The following is a 19,805-nucleotide window of genomic DNA, read 5'->3' on the forward strand; positions in this document are numbered from 1 at the left end:
AGGCTTAACCGGAAAACAAAAACTGACCACCCCTCCCCCTAATTTTTCTTCTCACATTGAGAAGTACAGTAAAGTACTAGAAAGGATTAATAAAGTAGTACCTCAGCCATGCTTGATCTTTACTCTGCTGCATAATTCTTTGTAGCACTCATAGCTGTATGATACTACATTGCATTATATTATATGACATCACATCTATCTATCTGTCCACGCTGTGTCTTGTTTCTCCCATAGAGCTGTGTGCTGTACGATGGCAGAGATGTCTTAGTTCACACTCTAGCACATTATGGGCACCAAAAAAAGTTGTTGGATGAATATGGGGAAGTCAGTAATGTTGCTCCAGCCTTTTAAGTCAGTGTATTTCCAACTACCTAAGTTCTCTTAAATCCGATCTCCTCTAAGGAGTTGCTCTTCAGCACCCTCTACCTTTAAAGGAGGAAACTTTAGTCTTTAGTCTTTTCCAAATTCCCATCCTTGTATACTCACAGCACCAGAACGAAGCCCAACACTGGGAATCCCCGCAGGTGAGTTGTGGTCTAGGTTGCTGGAACCTCCCCTTGAGGCACTGCGGCTTCAGGCAACATCAATGGTAACTGTGTTTACCCGGTCCCTACAGCACAAACATGCCTCCCAATCCCACTCTGTTTCTTGACTGGATCAAACTGATGTACCGCAATTTAATTTGCACACAGATACCAGGGACATCTGGAACAAATCTGATCTTCAAATTATGTTTTCCAAGTCTGTTTCAGCTGCCATTATCACGGAGGAGGACTTAAATGTAAAATAAGAACTTCACTTGCCACTGGCTTCTAACTTCTTACCATATTCCTCACAATTACAGTGCTGGTAATGGAGGAGTGTTCGGCAGCCTACGGGACACACACTCAATGCCACTAGCCACACAGTGGCTTAAGGGGTCACTTGGGAAGTCCCTACAGTTACATAGAGAACTGCAGAATATTTTATTTTTTATCTAGTTCATTTAGAGGTATGTCCTAAGCAACTAGTACATATTGGATACTCAAAAAATGGTTGTGAGTTTAACGAATTAGCCAAAATACTGGGTGCCTTTCAGTTAGTGTATAGTGGGATTTTTGAGCTTAAAACCTCATAATGAATATCAATAACAATGCATTTACTCAACTACATCAAGAGTGTGAGTGAAATGTATCCATTTCTAAATGGTTTTGGGGTAGATTATAAACTACAATTCTTGCTATTGGAAGAATTCTAGCTTACCACCCTTGCCGCCACGGAAATGACAAACAGACAACATAATTGCAGACTGCCAGTAATTAACATTCACCCAGCTATAGCACACATGAACATTTAAAATGAACAATTATATACTAAAAAAGAGACTGCGAATGATCAACCAGGGGGAAAAGGCAGAAATCTATGAATGAGATAGTGTTAAACAGTTAGATGTAATTCACTCCGCCCCCCTCTTCCCTCAGAGCTTTTTCAGCAAGGAGCAGAGAGTGTTTCCTGTCAAGCCAGCGGAACCACAAGAGCTGAATTGGTATCTCCAAGCAGGCAATTTTCCTAGTTGTAAATAACCAGCAGTTTTGTGGGAATCAATTAGGAGGTTCCCATCTCTTCTTTGGAAGTCTTATTTCAGCCATCCATCTTCCTTTGTTAATTTCGTAAGCGGGGTTTAAGAGATCCAGAGAGAAAGATCTATTTTCTGTCCCTCAGATTTCTTGGAGGGGGGAGGAGCGGTTTTTACATCTTTCCCATTTAGAATTCAAGTAGAGTACTTTCAAGTCACTCTCCCTTTTCAAGGCCAGGAAACTGCATGGGATTTATGTACTATGTCTAGCAACAGAGGTGCAAGGCCTGAAAGAAAATTATAGAGTCACAAGGCAAATGAAATAGACATAGGTGCAAAGAAGCTTTTATTGCAAAGATGCAGATGGCCTGCACACCAAATTGCATCCTTTGGAGCGGGTTCCTGAAGTCAAAGTCCAATATAACATGGTTGCCGCATTAACCAATTGTTCAGTCTTAGCCCATGCCTCTACTGTCAATCGTTTTATTTATGGTGATGATAATAACAGTCATATCAATGATACTAATATTAGAAGCTACCAATTATTGAAAACCAATCATGTGCTAGCTACTTTAAATATATGGTTCTTCTATTGCTCACAACCACCTTGCAACACCAGTCTTATGATCCTATTTTCTAAATGAGGAGACTGAGACCCAGAGAAGGTCACATGACCCATGAATTCTGGAGCCAAGAGGGTCTGCACCCAAGTTTATGTCTGGAAGACCAGTGGTTGTAAAGACAATCTTGTCCCACAAGGCCATGCTCTCCCTCTTGTTCATCCAGCAGTGACTGGTCAAAGCTCCACTCTGTGTGGAGCAGACACATCCCTTTACTAAGTATCAAAAAGATAAGTACAGAATGAGCCTTGCTGAAAACTTGCCATGGCCACACCTCAAAAACATGGAGAAGGGCCTTTTACTGGGTACCCAGACTTCTCGATGGACACACGATGGGTCTCAGCAAACCTCCAATCAGATCACTTTCCCCAGAACTGACCAGCACTTGGATCATTATCTCTTTGGAAAATATGATGTAACAAGAAAAAGCAATTCAATAGGAAAAAAAAAAAATGAGCATGGGGCATGAACAGAAACTACACAGAAAAAGAAATACAAATGGACTTCCTTTCCAGTTAAGGAAATAAATAACAACAGAATATCACTTTTAACCAATAGTGAAGACATGTGTGCAAAGATACATGCAGGAGTATTCACTGCAACACTGTTTGTATAATGCCCACTACCAGTGGTGGCTTGAATACATCTGGTACAACCATACAGTGAAATACTCTGACATCAATAACAAGGATGAATAAATCTGTATGCACTGATACAGAGAAAGCTACATGATAAAAAAAAGTCAGGATAATGCACATGGCCTGTGCCCATCTGTGTAAACATCCACACACATCCAGGGCTGTGTAAAGGCATCAGCTGTCAAATGATACAGAGGAAACTGGTCATCGTGGTTACCTCCGGGGAGGAGGTTAGGAAGCTGTACTTCCTTGACAAGAGAATGCCGTACTTTTCACTATATATCTTTTGGTATAATGTTTTTTATTACTATTTTTTTAAACAACATACTAAAAAGAAAAGGAGAAAGGGCCTGAGTGGAGCAGTAACCTGCCTGGGGTCCCACGAATGGCCCAGGGGTAGGGCCGGGCCTGGCTCCCAGGACTCCCAGCCCAGGGTTCTTTCCACTGCAGCAGCATGTGTATAGACAGTTTGATTTTATTCCCTCTACGCCTCACTCAATACTTGCCACCCACAATAATCACTCTTGGAAAAACTGCACCCACTTCCCAGTGATTTTATTAGTTAGCAGTGACTCTGACAAGCCTCCATTTTCCAATTAGCGCTACCCCCCATATCACTGACACTGGCATCCTCTGAGTGACATGTAGTGGCTGAGCCAGACACTCCCTAACCAAAGTGACACAACGGCATTGCTCTTCGATGGCCTATGGCTCCAAGTGCAACCCAAACGTTTAGACCGATTTTAGATTTCTGTATAGATAGCTCATGCCAAGCTTAAGTTCACACGAATGTTCACAAATATTACTTGGCCTGTAAATTATTCCCAGCAAATTTTCCATTTCAGGCCAACTTCTACTCAGCCACTTCCCTATTAACTATCTACTGCTCTCTGTGCATGCTCATGAGGTGGCCACCGTGAGCTTGTGAAAATTCAACCCAAAGCCACCATGGTGGCTGAATGAGACAGACACACGTGGGTTCTGCATTTTGGGCTCAGCCAGCATCAGTGACCCAGCTTCCTCCTTTCTGGCTGTGTGACATCAGGTGATACACTTACCTTCCAATCTCAGTTTCCTCCTATGTAAAGCGGAGTGCCTCAGGAAAGAACCAGAAAGCCTGCTGGTTCTGTGGAAACAGTAACTGGAGTTGTTCATACCAATGATTCCTTTTCTCCCACTAGGCAACAGACAGTTGATTATAAATAGTTTTTTGGGATTCTCTTCAGAATCCCACGCTCCTGCCCTCAGTGTCAAGGCTCTGGGATACAGCACGTGGAACCCTGGAGAAGCATGAGAAGTTGCCACTGGAGGCTAGATAAGAATCTGGAGTCTCTGTCTCTCTCAAGAAAACAGAAAATGGGGCTCTGTTTGGGGTGTCTATCCCACTCGCAATGGGGGGCCTCTTCCCCTCGGAGCTCTGCCTCTCCCCACCCATGGAGAAAGCCCCTGGCTACCACGTTTTTTCTCCATGCTGCTGCTCCCCCGGACAAGGCGTCAGGACCAGGTAGGTCACATGCTTTCAGTGACTCCATTCACAGAACTTCTGTTGCTCCTGGGAAGTGGGCACTGGAACTGAAAGACAGCCAGGCCACCTGAGCTATTCTCTTCCATGGAGGATATTTGGCTTGAATGCCACAAGGTGACCACTGATCATCCTGCACATGGCATTAGAGAAAACAAAGAGAACACAGAAAGTGACAGAGAGAAGGTACGAGTGGTGCCCGCGTTCCTGGCAGCCTTCCAGGTTCCAGTCTTGATGACCGCCAGCTATTATACATGCTTGGCCTTGGGGTCCTGAGAGACCCACAGTACTTCCTCCAATAGATTCCCTGCCCTCATATATATATATATGCATTTCTTCCTAAACTTGTTGCTTTCTGTTACTTGCAACCAAAAGAAGCCTAAAATATTCTGATTCCTATCTGTATAAATCTCCATCAGTATTTGAGAATGGCCTGAAGGTGGCACTTTCCATTCTGAGACAAAGAATTACTATAAAAATGCTGAATTTGTGGCATTACCTTTATTTTGCCTGATTGCATTACTCAAACAGAAAGAGCTATGAATAATAATAATAATAACGATACCACTAAAGTAAAATATTTGACACTCACAAGATTAAAAGCTGAATACAGTAATCTTCTCATAATCATCACGGGATATGCAGCACTTAATCAACAATTACACTGGGAAAATGCCCGCGACTTAATGCTTAAGTACCGGGAAAAGGCAAAGGAGAAAAGTAGGAAATCAATGCAAGGGGAGCAAGAAGTGTATCCAATCTAAATACTGCATGTATTATGATAACAGAGTTCTACATTTTCCTATCAAGGCTATGCAGAAAAATAATAAAAACAATCCAAGAATACACACCCCAAACCAAAACACTCTCGTGAAAGAGCTATTTTTAAAAATCACTTAGAATATTCATCTGATGGTGACACAGTCCATTAATCGGGGTGCTTATTTTTTCTTAACAGCTTTATTAAGGTGTAATTTACACATTCTTTATGCCCAAGTTTCTTCCCCGAGTCCTGCCCCCTGATGGGAGACGGAAGTGGAATGGCCCATGCAGGAAGCCAGAGCCTGGTGGAATAAGAGGCAGCAGTGTGGCCGACGCAGGGAGGAGAGAAGACAGACCCTCCCTCCCAGGAGGGGGCTCCTATCCCCAAAGGGCCTGCCAAGTGATTGTTAGGAAGTAGGTAGGTATATTCATATCTAGAACATGTAAATTTTTTTAAAAAAAGCAAAGCCTACTTGCCAGATCAAAATATTTCATGACCCAGAGCAAGTAACTCAGCAACCTTGGGAAATAAGCAAGCATTTACAACAGCCCACAATCTCTTTTGGCTGTCAGATCTTTACAACATGAGTTTTATTTTTAATGTTCTTTTTAAAGAGCTAATTCTTCATTCAGGATGCGCCTGCCCGATGCAAGCAGCACAAACACCCGCATTGTATTATAAATAGCCTCTTTTAAGGAGGGCTGGGTGGATAGCAACATTTTTTAACCTAGATACAGTTGTGACAACCCGTGACCTCCACACATCAGCCTTATTGTGTTATTTTATGAAGAATGTATCCTTGATGACTGCAATGATAGCCAATGAGGCCACAGTATGACTTCATGAACACATAATAATGCTGCCCTTTCATTTTCTGAGAGGGTTTATCTTCCTTCTGCTACAGGTAAATACAGTAAATTTGACATCATGGAATACAATTGAAGTAGCAAATGATCAATGTCAACCACAATAACAGTGCTTCAAAAAATTACCTCAACAATCCTATTTTCACCATTTTCCACAACCTATGGAAGTGAGGGAGTGGCATGAATGGGCACCTGGTAACTGAGAGGGAAGAATCTAAACATAGCTGCGTCTGCATCGCGCCCGCCAATGAAACCACATAAGCCCTCCCTCCGGGATGCATCAGTTCACATAAGGGCTCCCCTAAGCTCCAACTCGCAGGAGAATGAAAACAATAGAAAGCTATCTTCAGCCCTGGCTCCACAAGAAAAGCTCATTGCACTGATGCTAAGGTGGCTTTGCAGAGGAAACAGCTACAGACAAACCAACCCCCAAACCCAACTCTTAGTCAACTAGTCAAGATAGGCATTCAATCTTAATACTAGAGATCTGGGAATCCTCTTTACACAGAACTGAGGTGAAATCACCCCTGAGAAAACCAAGCAAAATGAAATCAAGTCCCTGCAAAAGACAAAATATTTCCTTAGACATACATACATGATATTGGTAACGGCCTTCCCTGCCTTTAAATTTGACCTTATAATACAAATGCAACCTCAGGCAAGTTCCCAAAATAATGCAGGAACCTTCAAATATTTCCCCGTCTAAGCCATACCTACAAATGTCATCTATAAGCCCTCCTATTGTATCCTTAGTAAGCAAAGAGACACAGGAATCTGCCTCTGGCCAAATATGCTCAGAGTTCACCTACCAACTGTCATGAAAACCTTGCAAAGTGTGAAGAGTATGAAAAGGCAAAGCTATTAGACTTTTTCTAGGTCTGTTGACTGATTTCCTATAGGTTCTGGGCATATGCTAATATCAAAGCTGAAATACAAAAAGAAATTGGCCCTTCAGGATAAGACCAGTATAAGAATTTCACTTCAAACAAGATGAAAGGAAAACCACTTACCTTGTCTTATAGCTACAAGAATGAAGATTCCCCATACTTAACTTGCTTAAGATTACAGAGAAGAGAAACATACCAAAAGTTAAGATCAGGGAATGTGAAAATCCGGTTACCCTTCAGATACGTACAAAACAGTGTCAGTTTCTGGAGAGAGGCTACAGCACGATGATAAAATGTTCAAGCTAGAGGGCTCCTTAGAAATCATCAAATTTTCTTTTTGCACTGGGCACCTGTGCGTTCATTTCCTTCAACTCATATTAACCAATAACCTACCAGATGCCAAGCACTGTTCGATATGCTGGGGATAGCACAATGAATGAAGAAGAAAGTCCCTGTCCTCAGACCTTCGACTCTAGGGGTGTGGTGGAAGTAACAAAGATACATACTGTCAGGTGGATGGAAGTGCTACAGAAGGCACAGTGGGTGCTGCTGAATGAATTTTATAGATGAGAAAGTGAAGCTTCAAATCACAAAGCTAGTTTGAAGGCAGCAGCAGGACTGCATACATTTTTTTAATGCAGAAAAGGAATGCTAAAACGTGAATAAAAACAAAGGAAAAATCGAGTATGATGAACAGACTTGTATTTTTGGAAACATATGCAAAAGATACGCAGGTGGGTCATTCGGGGCCCTTTCCTCTTTCCATCTTCCTGACGCTCCACGGATCTACTGACCAAGTGGATCATTCTCACCTTTAAATATGACATATCAAAAAAGTGTTTCTGCACACAAAACACCCAAGAGTAAGAAATGTTTCTTTGTTTGAAAATGAGAAACATTTCACTGTCGAGTTCTCATTTCAAAATTCCTTGGCCTTTAGGTGCTTCAAAAAGGCATTGGAGAAAAAAAAAAAAGAAATGGGGGCTTGGTTTCTCCAGTTTTCTTTTCTTTAACTGGGTATTTCTTGTAGGATACTTCTTTCCCCCTCATTTATATCGTTTCTCAGCCTCAGGGTTATAAACCACTTATGAAATAAAGTAAAAGGGGAGCCTGTTCCATCCATCAGGACCAGCATTTGGAAAAGTGGTTGAGTGAGAAAGAAGAAATTTTCAGATAAAAGAGATATAAAAGAATGCTTCAAAATTCACATTTTTCCTTTTTCTCCAAAAAAGTGGAGCTTATTCTATGTGGGCCAAGTGACTTGTTAAACAAACAAACTCCTGAGGACACGCAGCCGGAGAGGCAGCCCCCTGAGATACTCCAAGTAGTGAGATCAGCCCCCCATCCCGCATCTGGCATCCCCCAGACCCCAACCCGCAGCCCTGTGACACTTGCTGGAAAGCCACTTGCTAATCAGAGTGCTGAGAATCATTGCTCACTTTCCTGCAGGCCACGACTTGCCAGCTTGATTTAATAAGTCATCATTTGGTGTGAGGACGGGTGATGGCTTAAGGGTACAGGGTTTTTCCCCCGCACTGGGTGATGAAAATATTCTAAAACTGCTTGTGCTGATGGCTGCACAACTCTGCGAAAAAAAACCGCTGAATTGTACTTTAAATAGGTGAATTGTTTGGTATGTGAATTATATTTCAATAAAACCCATGTTACCTTTAAAAGTTACCATTTTCATCAACCCCAAAATGTCAGTGGCCTTTCTTATTACATCACCCTCACAGTAAAGGGCTAAAGCTGAGAACTGGTGTTTACATTTTAATTGTGTTACATCTTTAAGTTAAAACATATATTTTCCCGGGGCATGATTTCCTCCAGGCCTGGGAAGGTTAAAGGCCATCAGGAAATGCAGCCTAGGGTAGAGACCCCTCACCCTGAAACCATGGTTTTCACAGGCTCCGAGTTCTGAGAGCCACAATGAAGAGTAATTCTACAGAGTGGGCAGAGAATCTCATCTGAGTGCCCGCCCCACCCAGCGCCCACACCTCCTTTCTCATCTTATTTGCAGGATGCGGCTTTTTTTTTTTTTTTTTTGAGACAGTCTCACTCTGTTGCCAGGCTGGAGTTCAGGGGCGTGGTCTCGGCTCACTGCAACCTCTGCCTCCTGGGTTCAAGCAATTCTCTGCCCCAGCCTCCCAAGTAGCTGGGATTACAGGCATCCGCCACCACGCCTGGCTAATTTTTTGTATTTTTTAGTCGAGACGGGGTTTCACCATCTTAGCCAGGCTGGTCTTGAACTCCTGACCTTGTGATCCACCCGCCTCAGCCTCCCAAAGTGCTGGGATTACAAGCGTGAGCCACTGTGCCCAGCCGGATGCGGCTTTATGGCTGAAGAAAAGAGAGCATGACAAGACGGTTAGAAAAGTTCAGATCTGGATTACTAAGAAAATCTAATTAAATGAATAATAACCCCTCCCTCAATTCATCCCTCCAATCTGGGCAACAGGAGAAAGAGACTTCCCTTCCTCCCTTCTCTCCCTCTTTCCTTTCTTTCTTCCATCAAACATTCATCCACCCAATAGTCAGTCTGTTGATCCATCCATCCATCCACCCACCCACCCAATAGTCAGTCTGTCCATCCATCTGAACACCCGTCCGTCCATTCATCCATCCATCCCTCCATCTCATAATTTTTCAAAATTCTCCTGTGCAAAAACAGTGATACAAATAAAATACTTTCTGTAAATTGCAAAGTGTAACACAAAGCTTAAGCATAATTATTGTATAAAACATGACAATTATCCTTTTTCCCTCTCTTCTCCATCCCTAGCTTAAAACCAGTCAAAGGTTATTACATACCCAAGCCTGGGGACTAAGAAAATTTTGACCAATAAAACTGGGTTGCTAGTGGAGCTTTCTGGAACCTGGGAGAGCTATGAAAGGCCAGGGAAGTATTAGTAGATTTTAAACTTAACCTTACTTCTAGGCTCAATTAAATAGATAATTTATTATGCTTCTACTATAGGCCAGAATTATGATAAGGGGACAGGAAAGGATGTCTAGTGCAAGGTCTTGAGTCTCTAAGACAAGACCTTGGACTAGAGGTCTAGTGCACAGTCAACTATATCTCACCACTGCTACCACCATAGTCTCGGTCAAATCATGATCACCCTCATCTAGGCTATGACTATAGCCTTGTAACTGGATTCCACACATAACCCCTGTTCCCTGTCAACCTACTCTGTTCTCCACCCTGCAGAGTCATCTTTATAAAAAGTACACCAGATTTGGTTTTGCCCTTCCTCAAAACCTTCCAGTGGCTTCCCATCACAATTAGAATAAAATCCAGTCTCTTCTTCATGACTTACAGTGATCTGGCCTCTGCTAATCATTCCCAATTCCTGTCCTACCACTGTTTGTCTTGCTCATTCCTCAAACATTGCTGTTCTTTCAACAAGCCGTGTTTGTTCCTACCATCTTTGCACCTGCCCTCTGCCTAGAAAGCTCTTCTCCTCCATGGTGGCACAATTGCACCTTCTCATCATTTTGGAATCGATATCAATTCTTCAAAGGGCCTTCCCTGGCCACTTTACCTAAAATAACACCTTCCTCCTGCTCCAACCCCTCTACCTTCACCTTACTTTTTTCTTCTGTCTGGCGCTTAGCTGGACCTGAGGTCACATTACATATATGATTCTCTACTTGTTTGCTTTCTGTCTTCCCACTACACTATAAAATGCCACAAGCGCAAAGACTTTATCACTTAGCCACCACTGTCTCTAGGGGCCTAATCCAGCGACTGATATAAAATACGCAGTTTACAAATATGTGAACTGATCATTTCAGTTTTAGTTCCACCTTCCATACTTTTGCATCTTAGTATTGTCTCACTTTCCACCAACAGGAGCAAATGATTTATAAAAAATGCCCAGCAGAATAATTTTGTGACTTCATTATTAATACTCTCCCCATCCCTGTCTACTCTCTTCCCTAGGGACTGGCTTTAGTCAAATTCAGCTTTAAGCTGACATGGGCCAGAGACCCTGAAAATGTAAAAGCTGCTGTATTTACAGAAATGATGCCCTGGGGGGAAAAGTCAGAGTTTAAGGATTTCTTCTGGAAGAAAAGATAAGTGCATGCCTACGTGTGCTGTGCTACGTGAGGCAGTGGAAAACTGCCTGCTTTCACTTGGTGGGGAACAGTCTGAGGCATGAAATCGACTTTACCCATAGGAATAAAATTAGAACTTCCTCCGCTATAGACATGATTTTGATTTGAAGTAAAATGAAAAGGCAAAAACTTCAATTAAGTAAATCTCAAGAGCAAATGATCCAAGAAACAGGTGAATTTTTTTAAAGCCATTCTAATGGTTTAAACAGCTTATTCAAGTGGAATACTTTAAAATGTCAGGAATTCAACCTCTTGATTTAAGAGCTCTGGAATTCAAGTGCTTCAAATTGAGAAAATAATACACAAGTAAATGGTTGTAATTTCTTGTTTGTGCATCCTGGCATTATACCCTCCACGTATACAAGCCTGTGCCTGCACAAACCAGGCTACTTGAATGCCAAACATCATTCCTGGGTTGAAATTATAAAGAAAGCTCTTGCTTTAAAATTATAAACAAGGTATAAAATAAGTATTTCAGGGGCTCATTCAAATCAAGTCTCTTGAGAGTCTGGACACAACAGATACACTGTACTCACTAAAGCTTGCCAACAGTGGAAAGGAACATTCTAGAAATTCCTGCAGAGCTACACAGTATATTTACAGGCCACCTGTAGCAGGAAAGGCTTCCGTTGCTGTCATACCTGTCTCTTCTCCATCCTCCTTTCCAAAGCCCTTTCCCCTTTCCCCTGACAGTCTTCGCTTACTCACACTCACAGGCACTCAGAGCTTCTCAGCTGAGTAACTCTTAGAGCAGCCACTGTCAGGTAAAGAGAATTTATTTACAAGCATCACAGCCTTTGAAATGCTGAGAGGGCAAGTCAGCAACGCAGACACCGTGATACTACTAAATACCTTCCAGCACGGATCTCTCCAAACAGATGTTGCCTTCTAGGAATGAAACAATAACTTCCAAATTTTTCATGTAGACACAGCCATCCTGCAAGTGGGATAATTACTACACCATTCATTTGGAAGGCATTCAGCAAGCACCTATGATACGCCAGGGACTCTTGGCTGTAGAGGAAGGTCTCATAGTCCCTGCTCATTCGGGAGAAAGAAACACAAATCCAACGATGGGACAATGCCATAAAAGACACGGTGGTGTATAGGACTACAACAGGAACTTGGAGGAAATCCTGTGACTGCAGAGGAGGGACAGGCTCTTCAGCCCATGGGCCAAATCCATCTGTTTCGCATGGCTTGAGAGGTAACAGCGGTTCTATACATTTTTTAATGATTGAAAAAAAAGTCATCAATATTATATGAAATTCAAATTTCAATGGCCATCAATAAAACTTTTTTGGACACAGCCATATCCATCAGTTGACATGCTACCTGTGGGTGCCTGGGCAGAGCTGAGAAGTGAGACAGGTTCTGTGGCCTGCAAAGTCTATTAGACTTACTGTAAGACCCTTTCAGGAAAAGTGTGCCAAACCCTGAACCAATTTGACTGAACATGATGGAGGTTTTCTGGTTTTGGTTTTCTTTGTTTCAGACAGGGTCTTGCTCTGTTGCCCAGGCTGAAGTACAGTGGTGCAATCACAGCTCACTGTAGCCTTGACTTCCTGGGCTCAACGGATCCTCCTGCCTGAGTCTTCTGAGTAGCTGGGACCATAGGCATACACCACCATGCCCAGCTAATTTTTTAAATTTTGTAGAGATGGGGGTCTTCAGATGTTGCCCAGGCTCATCTTGAACTCCTGAGCTCAAGCAATTATCCTGCCTCAGTCTCCCCAAGTGTTGGGATTACAGGCATGAGCCACTGCATCCAGCCTGGTTTTGTTTTCTAAAGTGGAGCATAAACATATAAGAATATCAAACTCTAGTTGGTCATGTGATAGCAATGGAACAATTCTGAGAGAACTGCAAAAACACCTGTTGGTTATAAAGAAAAGCAGCCTTTGATGTCTCCCAGACCAACTCACATATGTTACAGATGAGGAAGCACATCCTGAGAAGTCAAGTTATTCTGCCAGGGCCATGGGGAATGGCACATTCTAGAAGAAAATGTTTCTTCTGTCCCCAAACTCATATATGTTCCCGATATGGGTTGGCTGTGTCCCCACACAAATCTCGAATTGTAGTTCCCATAATTCCCATGCGTTATGGGAGAGACCTGGTGGGAGGTAATTGAATCATGAGGGTGGGTCTTTCCCATGCTGTTCTTGTGATGGTGAAAATGTCTCATGAGATCTGATGGTTTTATAAAGGGGAGTTCCCCTGCACATGCTCTCTCTCTTGCCTGCCACCATTTAAGACGTGACTTTGCTCCTCCTTTGCCTTCTGCCATGACTGTGAGGCCTCCCCAGCCAGGTGGAACTGTGAGTCCATTAATCCTCTTTATAAATTACTCAGTCTCGGGTATGTCTTTATTAGTAGTGTGAGAAGAGACTAATACAGTTCCACAGCACTGACTGGAAAAAATTATCTTGGCCAAGAAATGGCTGAAGAAAAAGATTAGTATTTGAAAGTGCTGGATTTATGCTTTGTGTTTTTTCTAACAAAATGCCCCTACTTGTGAGCCACTGGTGCCTTAGAAGGTGGCATTTCCTCCTTTTCTAGCCTCCAGCCTTCTTCCCACATATCCTACATTTCTCAGACGCCTCCTACAGCCACAGCACACCCATGCAAGTACTGTCCCGGAATTCACCCTAGGCAGCTGACCTGACTCACAGACTGCCCCTTCTGCCTAGAATCCTTTACCAGTTGTTTGATCCACCAGGTCCCCTAATTCTGGTGCTTGGGCCTCCAAGCTTTCTGTAGCCTATGCAAATGGGTCAGCCCAAAACACAAAATTCACTGGAAAAGCACCTCGCACATTTGAAATAAATGCTCAGTTAAATGTCTATAAACATATGTTAACCAATCAAGAGCAACTAAATTCAACTCTTACATAGCTTACATATAATGATATTTAATGTGGAATGTGGGTGGATTTCAGTTACTTTACTGGCATAGGAAAAAGCCTCCAAATATTAAGAGTACATGGACCTAATCAAGTACTTAAATTTAAAATGTCTGTTTTCCTTCGATATAAAGATCCCACTCAACTGCCATCTCCTTTATGAAATATTCCATTTTAAATTTATTTTCTTTGTACAATAATTCAACATGCTGCTTTGGATTCATAAAATCATTACTATAAACAAATAACTTGGCATATTTACAGAACACCAATGATGTGCTATGGGAAATGCAAAGGTGTCTTTACATGTGGTCCCTGACCTCAAAGCACAAGCAATAAGACAAATGACACAAACATGCTCAACCTTATATAACAAATCCAAGGTTTAAAGCATTCAAAGACATTTGCTTTGCGATAAACTAGCTACAACTGCAGACAGTAGGCTTTGGCTGAAACAGGGATAGTTCTTTGGAAGAACTGTGTCTTGAATAACAACCATTCATTGTCTACTAGGTGCCACTTTTACACTTGGCCATTTAAATGATCATCTTTCATTCTTACAACAACCCTACAAAGTAGTGATTCTTATGCCCGTTTAACAAATGAAGAAACAGAGATTAAGTAACTTGACAAAGGTTACTCAGCTAATAACCTGCTAAACTACCAGCCAGATCCAGGCTATAGAGCCAAGGATTATTAATACTTTTAATATGTGAGCTTTTCAAAGTAGGCCATATACTACCCCTGGTACACAGATGGGTTTTTCGTTGCTGTTGGACAGGGTGATCTTGAAAATTCGAATTCATTGCAGTACTTAAAAATCAGGAAATTGGCTGGGTGCAGTGGCTCACACCTGTAATCCCAGCACTTTGGGAGGCCGAGGAGGGCGGATTACCTGAGGTCAGGAGTTCGAGACCAGCCTGACCAACATGGTGAAACCCCATCTCTACTAAAAATACAAAATTAGCTGGGCGTGGTGGTGCATGCCTGTAATCCCAGCTACTCTGGAGGCTGAGGCAGGAGAATTGCTTCAACCCGGGAGGCAGAGGTTGCAGTGAGCCGAGATCGTGCCATTGCACTCCAGCCTGGGCAACAAGAGGGAAACTCTATCTCAAAAAAAAAAAAAAAAAAAATCAGGAAATTTTACATAAATATCTCGAAGAGGTGTGTGAAGATATGAGGACTCAAAATGCAAATGGGACATTTTACCTATTCCTCGATTTTATATGAAAATCTTGGAATAAAGAGTTAAAGTATGCAAAGATATTATTATCTTTAGAGAAACAACAGATACAGTGTGAAATAGGATATAAAACTGGCATGCGTTTTCAACTGAGTGTGTGCACAACATGGCGGGTAGGTACTGTCCCAAAGGGTGGGTAGATTCAGGACTGCAGGAACCAAAGTGGGAAGCGCAGTCACTTTAGAGAAAGGAGACAAGCTCCGAGAGCTTGGAAGGGGGTTGTCAAGGACACTAAGTGTCTGGTGTTTTGCCTCGGTGCTGATCCTGGTGGACTGTGCCAGGGAGAAGAATGCTGCCTCATGATGGTCAGCCTGCAGCCACCACAGTTTAGCTATAAATGGCTCCCTCCTGCCCCAGGTTGTCAGGGCTCATTAAGGCCTGATGCGAAACAGCCTGCACCTGGGGAGGGGACCAAAAATGGAGGGAGCCTGAGTTTGGAAACTTCCTTTTTCAGGGAGTGCTCACCGGCATCGCGGAAAAGAGCCTCTGGCAGGGATCTGGCATTCGCTCTAGGGCATGAAGCTTCTGGAAGAGTGAATTCAAGAGCTCCCCAGGGAGAGCTGCCCAGGGCCAGCACGTCTTTGCATGGCCTCAAGGTGGAGATTCGGTTCCAGTTTTCACCACTCCGTGAGGCGTGATCCATCCTGTTTGCCCTGATGCTGCCCACGTGGGAGATCAAACGGCTCTTTCCCAACAAATAGACTGGACTGAAGAAACCTTAGTTGTGAGCACAGAAAAGATCAAGTCTTATTTCACTCCCGGAGTTGTTTCTTAAGGGAAAAGTTTGGCTGGTGGGGGCTCCTTTCTTTGGGCTACAGCACCAAGAAAACAGACGCCAAATTAAAAGAGAAGCAAAATTCAATCCTGTTTTAAAAAAACAGAATGTACAGACATATGTGTCTAAGGCCTTCTAATAAATCTTTGGCCTCCTCCTCCTCCTCCCTCTCTAGTCAATCTGTACCCTTCTCACTAGCCATCACTGCGTTTTTCAAGACCCCAATCTCTTTCCTGAAATCCCCCAGGACTTTCCAATTCAGCTGCCCTGATGGATTCCGGACTCCAGCTGTATGCCTGAGCAGATCACTCATCTTTTCAAGCCTTTGTTTCCTCATCGGCACATGGTACCTGTCCCAATGGCTGTTGCTGGGATCTATGGCCATGGCCCATCAAACCACCCAGCACGATCCCTGGCCTGTATTCTGCACCCTGTAACTGTTATTTTTTTAATCCCTGGTCAAGAGCACCAGTCTTGGAACGGGCTGCCTGGATGGAAACCCCAGCTGTGTCACATACTAACAACATGACATGGAGCAGGTACTTGCCCCTGTGAAACTTAACACTTCAGTCTCCCCATCTGTAAAGCAGGATCATAATGGCCCCTTCCTCACACGTTTCTGTAGGATGAATGAGTTAAAGCAAGGAGAGTGCTCAGAAGAGGCTCTGCGCATAGTAGAAAGTTCCATGTTTTAGCTGCATCATCACCACCATCATCGCCATGCTATCCTGCCTTCTGCAAGGCTGCTTGAATTGCCTGAGCCTGGAACGTTTCCCCAACAGAAGTCAGCAAGCTTGTTCCCTAACCAGGGACTCAGTTCAAATGGCTGAGTGTCTGTAAGGGAGGTGGGGAGAAGGGGTGGTGCAGGGAAAGGAGCGAGTGGTCAGAACTGCACGGCCAGACAGACAGCTCGGAGTGTGGCTGCTCAGGTCCAGCCAGTTGCTGCCCTGTAGCAAGGCATGCCCGGGGATGCTCCATCTCCCAGATGTCAAGGGAAGCTAGAAATCCAGATATTTATGTAAAATTTCCTGATTTTTAAGTAGTGGCAATGAATTCAAATTTTCAAAATCACTCTGTCCAACAATAAAAAAACCCATCTGTGTACCAGTGTGCTGGCTCTGCTCCCGGGGCCATCAATCTGTGTCCTCTGCCTGGTGGGGTGGGATCACCTCCAAGTTCTGCCTCTGAACACTCGTCTCCTCCATGAGGCCTTCCTAGGGGGCCTGAGAAGAGATACTAGTCCTACTCACCTTTTCAGACCCAGAGTGCTCAAGGCCACCTTCTCTGACCACACCTTTGCCACTGCGGCCCAGCCATGGGCCTTCTGTTGTCCACTCCCCCACTAACGACGCACTTAGCAGCACTTAGCAGAGATCTGCAGGAAAGCTAAGTGCTTTAATGACACTTGTGTATCGATTCAGAGCTTTTTTTATTCCCCCCATGAGGATTTCCCATGTGCGGCGCATTTGGGGGCAGTGCAAATTCTTAGAGGCTAAGTTCCCAGAGGCCAGGGGCTACTCTATAAAGCTCTCTCTGAACACAGGGAGCACAGGCCTCAGCATCAGCGACTCCTTCTTCTGATGAAGGGCGAGAACGCTAAGGACACAGTGCATTGTGAAATGTCTTTTAGAAGAAATTCACACATTAACACTTCTTTCAACACCAGCCATGAGCCCACGTTGCCACTTTCCGGTCTCATTTTCACAAATGCGGCATTTCAACTGATGCCCAAATCTCCAACTGTGTAGACTTGAGTCAAACACAAGGAAACCGGCTCTCTGTATTTAAATCAGGCACCAGCTGCCTATGAAGATGAATTACTGTTGGTCTGTGTTCATTCATTCATTCACTCATTCATTCAACAAGCATTGGTTCTCTCGGTGTCAGACGCAACAGTACTAGGCTCTAGGAATGGCGAGAACAATTAAGAACAAAAAGTCCTATGACAAAAGTCTTCTCCCTCACACCCAGAATGCCAGAGGCTAGATGGGATCTTAAGAAATGGTCCCATCCAACACTCTTCTCCTGGTGAGGATCTGAGGCCCAGGGAGTTGACTATAAATTGCACATGTCTGTTTGGCTATGAAAGGAGGATACAAAAGGTGCCAAGGTTAAACCCAAGGCCCTTGCTCCTGGCCCAGGGCTCTTTTCAAAGCAGCACGCAGGACATTCTAAGCGGACTCCAACTAAACCACTAACAAGGCCTGGGGTCAGCAAACTGACCTTCCAGGAGAAACCGCTGGGCACACCATTCATGACTGTCCTCAAGAAAAAAGGTCTTCATAGGAGTAAGAAGCAGGAGTGCCACTCTGCACAGAGACCCTGCCATTACCCTTCTACAACCAGCCTCCAGTGGCTCTCACACTTTCGTTTTTTGCAATGTACCAAGGCACCTAAGGAACAAGACACCTCCCCATGAGTGCCAGAGGCTCACAGTAAGTCTAGAGGGCAGGGTGGAGGTGGGTCTGACACCAGCCCCAGAGGCACATCTGACATGCCCTAATAAAAGAACTCATGGTTGCCTGGTGCCAGCGGGTCAGAATGAGTGTGCTGGCACCACCCTTCCCTGCCTGCCACCCTCCTCACACTGCCCTGTCCCCTCAAGGACACCTGTTGTCATTTTCAAGGGGAAAATCGAGTTTTTCAATGAATAACTGGCATAAAAAAGGCTCTCCACACAATATGCTTCAAACTCTCTCATATGAAAATCAATCAATCAGTCAATCATCAATCAATCAATCAATCAGTAGGACCATGTCACTGGCAATCAGAGGGGAGAGTTAGGCTTGGACAGATGATTGATGAACGGCACTGAGGGAAGCAGGGGCAGGAATCACAGATGTCTTTGAGGACCTACGGTCACGCCACATTCCACAAGGCCAGGACAAACAGGCTGGGTGGACGTCTATTTTGGTCACACAGCTGCAAACATATGATTTATGAAGATGTTTAACGCTGGCTCCCAGGAGGTTTGTGCATCACGCTATTGCTGTCCCGGCCGTAAGAAGCTGAGCCTCTGATGCTTGGCCCATCCTTCCTCTTCCCACTGAGCAAGGTGTATTCTCAAGCTCTGATCCCTTCTGACTCTTCCCAAGACACTGGTTTTCTTTTCTGCTCTCCCTAATCCGTGAGAGTTTAAGGATGTGCATTATTGAGTTTGGCATCCATTGGCCTCAATGTTCTCTATCATTCCACTGCAAAGCTGCCTCTTCTTGGTGAAATTTAGCTTTATTGATTTCTATTTCTGACTTTCTCGACACTGGCTCATTCATTATTCAGGGAAAATCTGGCTATGAGACCACGGTTTGATATTCTGCCAACAGGAGCCTGAGCAGGTGAGACCTCTGCAAGTCTACTTTTCAAAGAATCAGAAGAAGCTATAAAAAGCAGTATAGTTTAGACCCCTCAAGATATTCATTATTTTCTGTGTGAACTGCAGGTCAGCTAGTAGGAAATAAACCAGTTATTTTTGGGCAGAGAAACATTCCATTGTTTAGCTGGAAAACAAACCCCTCCTTAACCACCTATCCTGCAGGTTGCGGTGAGAGTCCCCCAGGGCTAGGGCAGGAGGAGGTGGCTCCATCCACCACCATCAACAACTCATATGGACACATGGACCTATTTCCATTCCATCATGAGGGGCTGAGTCCCACCACCTTCCATGAGGCCCATGGTGTTTGTGGGCAAGGTGACATTTTCAAGGTGTTACAATAAGATGCAGGGAATGGACCCATTTGTTTATTTTCCTTGTCATAGAGGACAGAAGTAAAGGAAATTGTATTCAAACCATAAGAAGAGAGGTTCAAATTAGAGAGTGTGAAGAAGTTCCTTCCACGAAGTTGGGCTGAAACATACTACTGAAGAAAGTAGTCGAATTACCCTCTAGAGAAATCTTCTAAGAACAGAACT

At 43.8% G+C, this 19,805-nt stretch overlaps 1 protein-coding gene across 2 annotated transcripts in view, besides 1 other annotated feature; it reads right to left on the bottom strand.

Moving 5' to 3' along the window:
* Positions 1-19,805, bottom strand: part of FOXN3 (forkhead box N3) — a 462,989-nt gene that overhangs the window by 81,487 nt on the left and 361,697 nt on the right. The gene's annotated exons all lie outside the window — the stretch shown is intronic.
* Positions 14,869-15,524: an enhancer, noted in NCBI's record as "H3K27ac-H3K4me1 hESC enhancer chr14:89718876-89719531 (GRCh37/hg19 assembly coordinates)". NCBI's record gives its function as "activates a minimal SCP1, AML or CMV promoter by ChIP-STARR-seq in primed H9 embryonic stem cells {active_cell/tissue: H9 hESC(primed)}" and the evidence as "EXISTENCE:reporter gene assay evidence [ECO:0000049][PMID:30033119]".

Source organism: Homo sapiens, chromosome 14 (genome assembly GCF_000001405.40).
Source record: "Homo sapiens chromosome 14, GRCh38.p14 Primary Assembly".
NCBI lineage: Eukaryota > Metazoa > Chordata > Mammalia > Primates > Hominidae > Homo > Homo sapiens.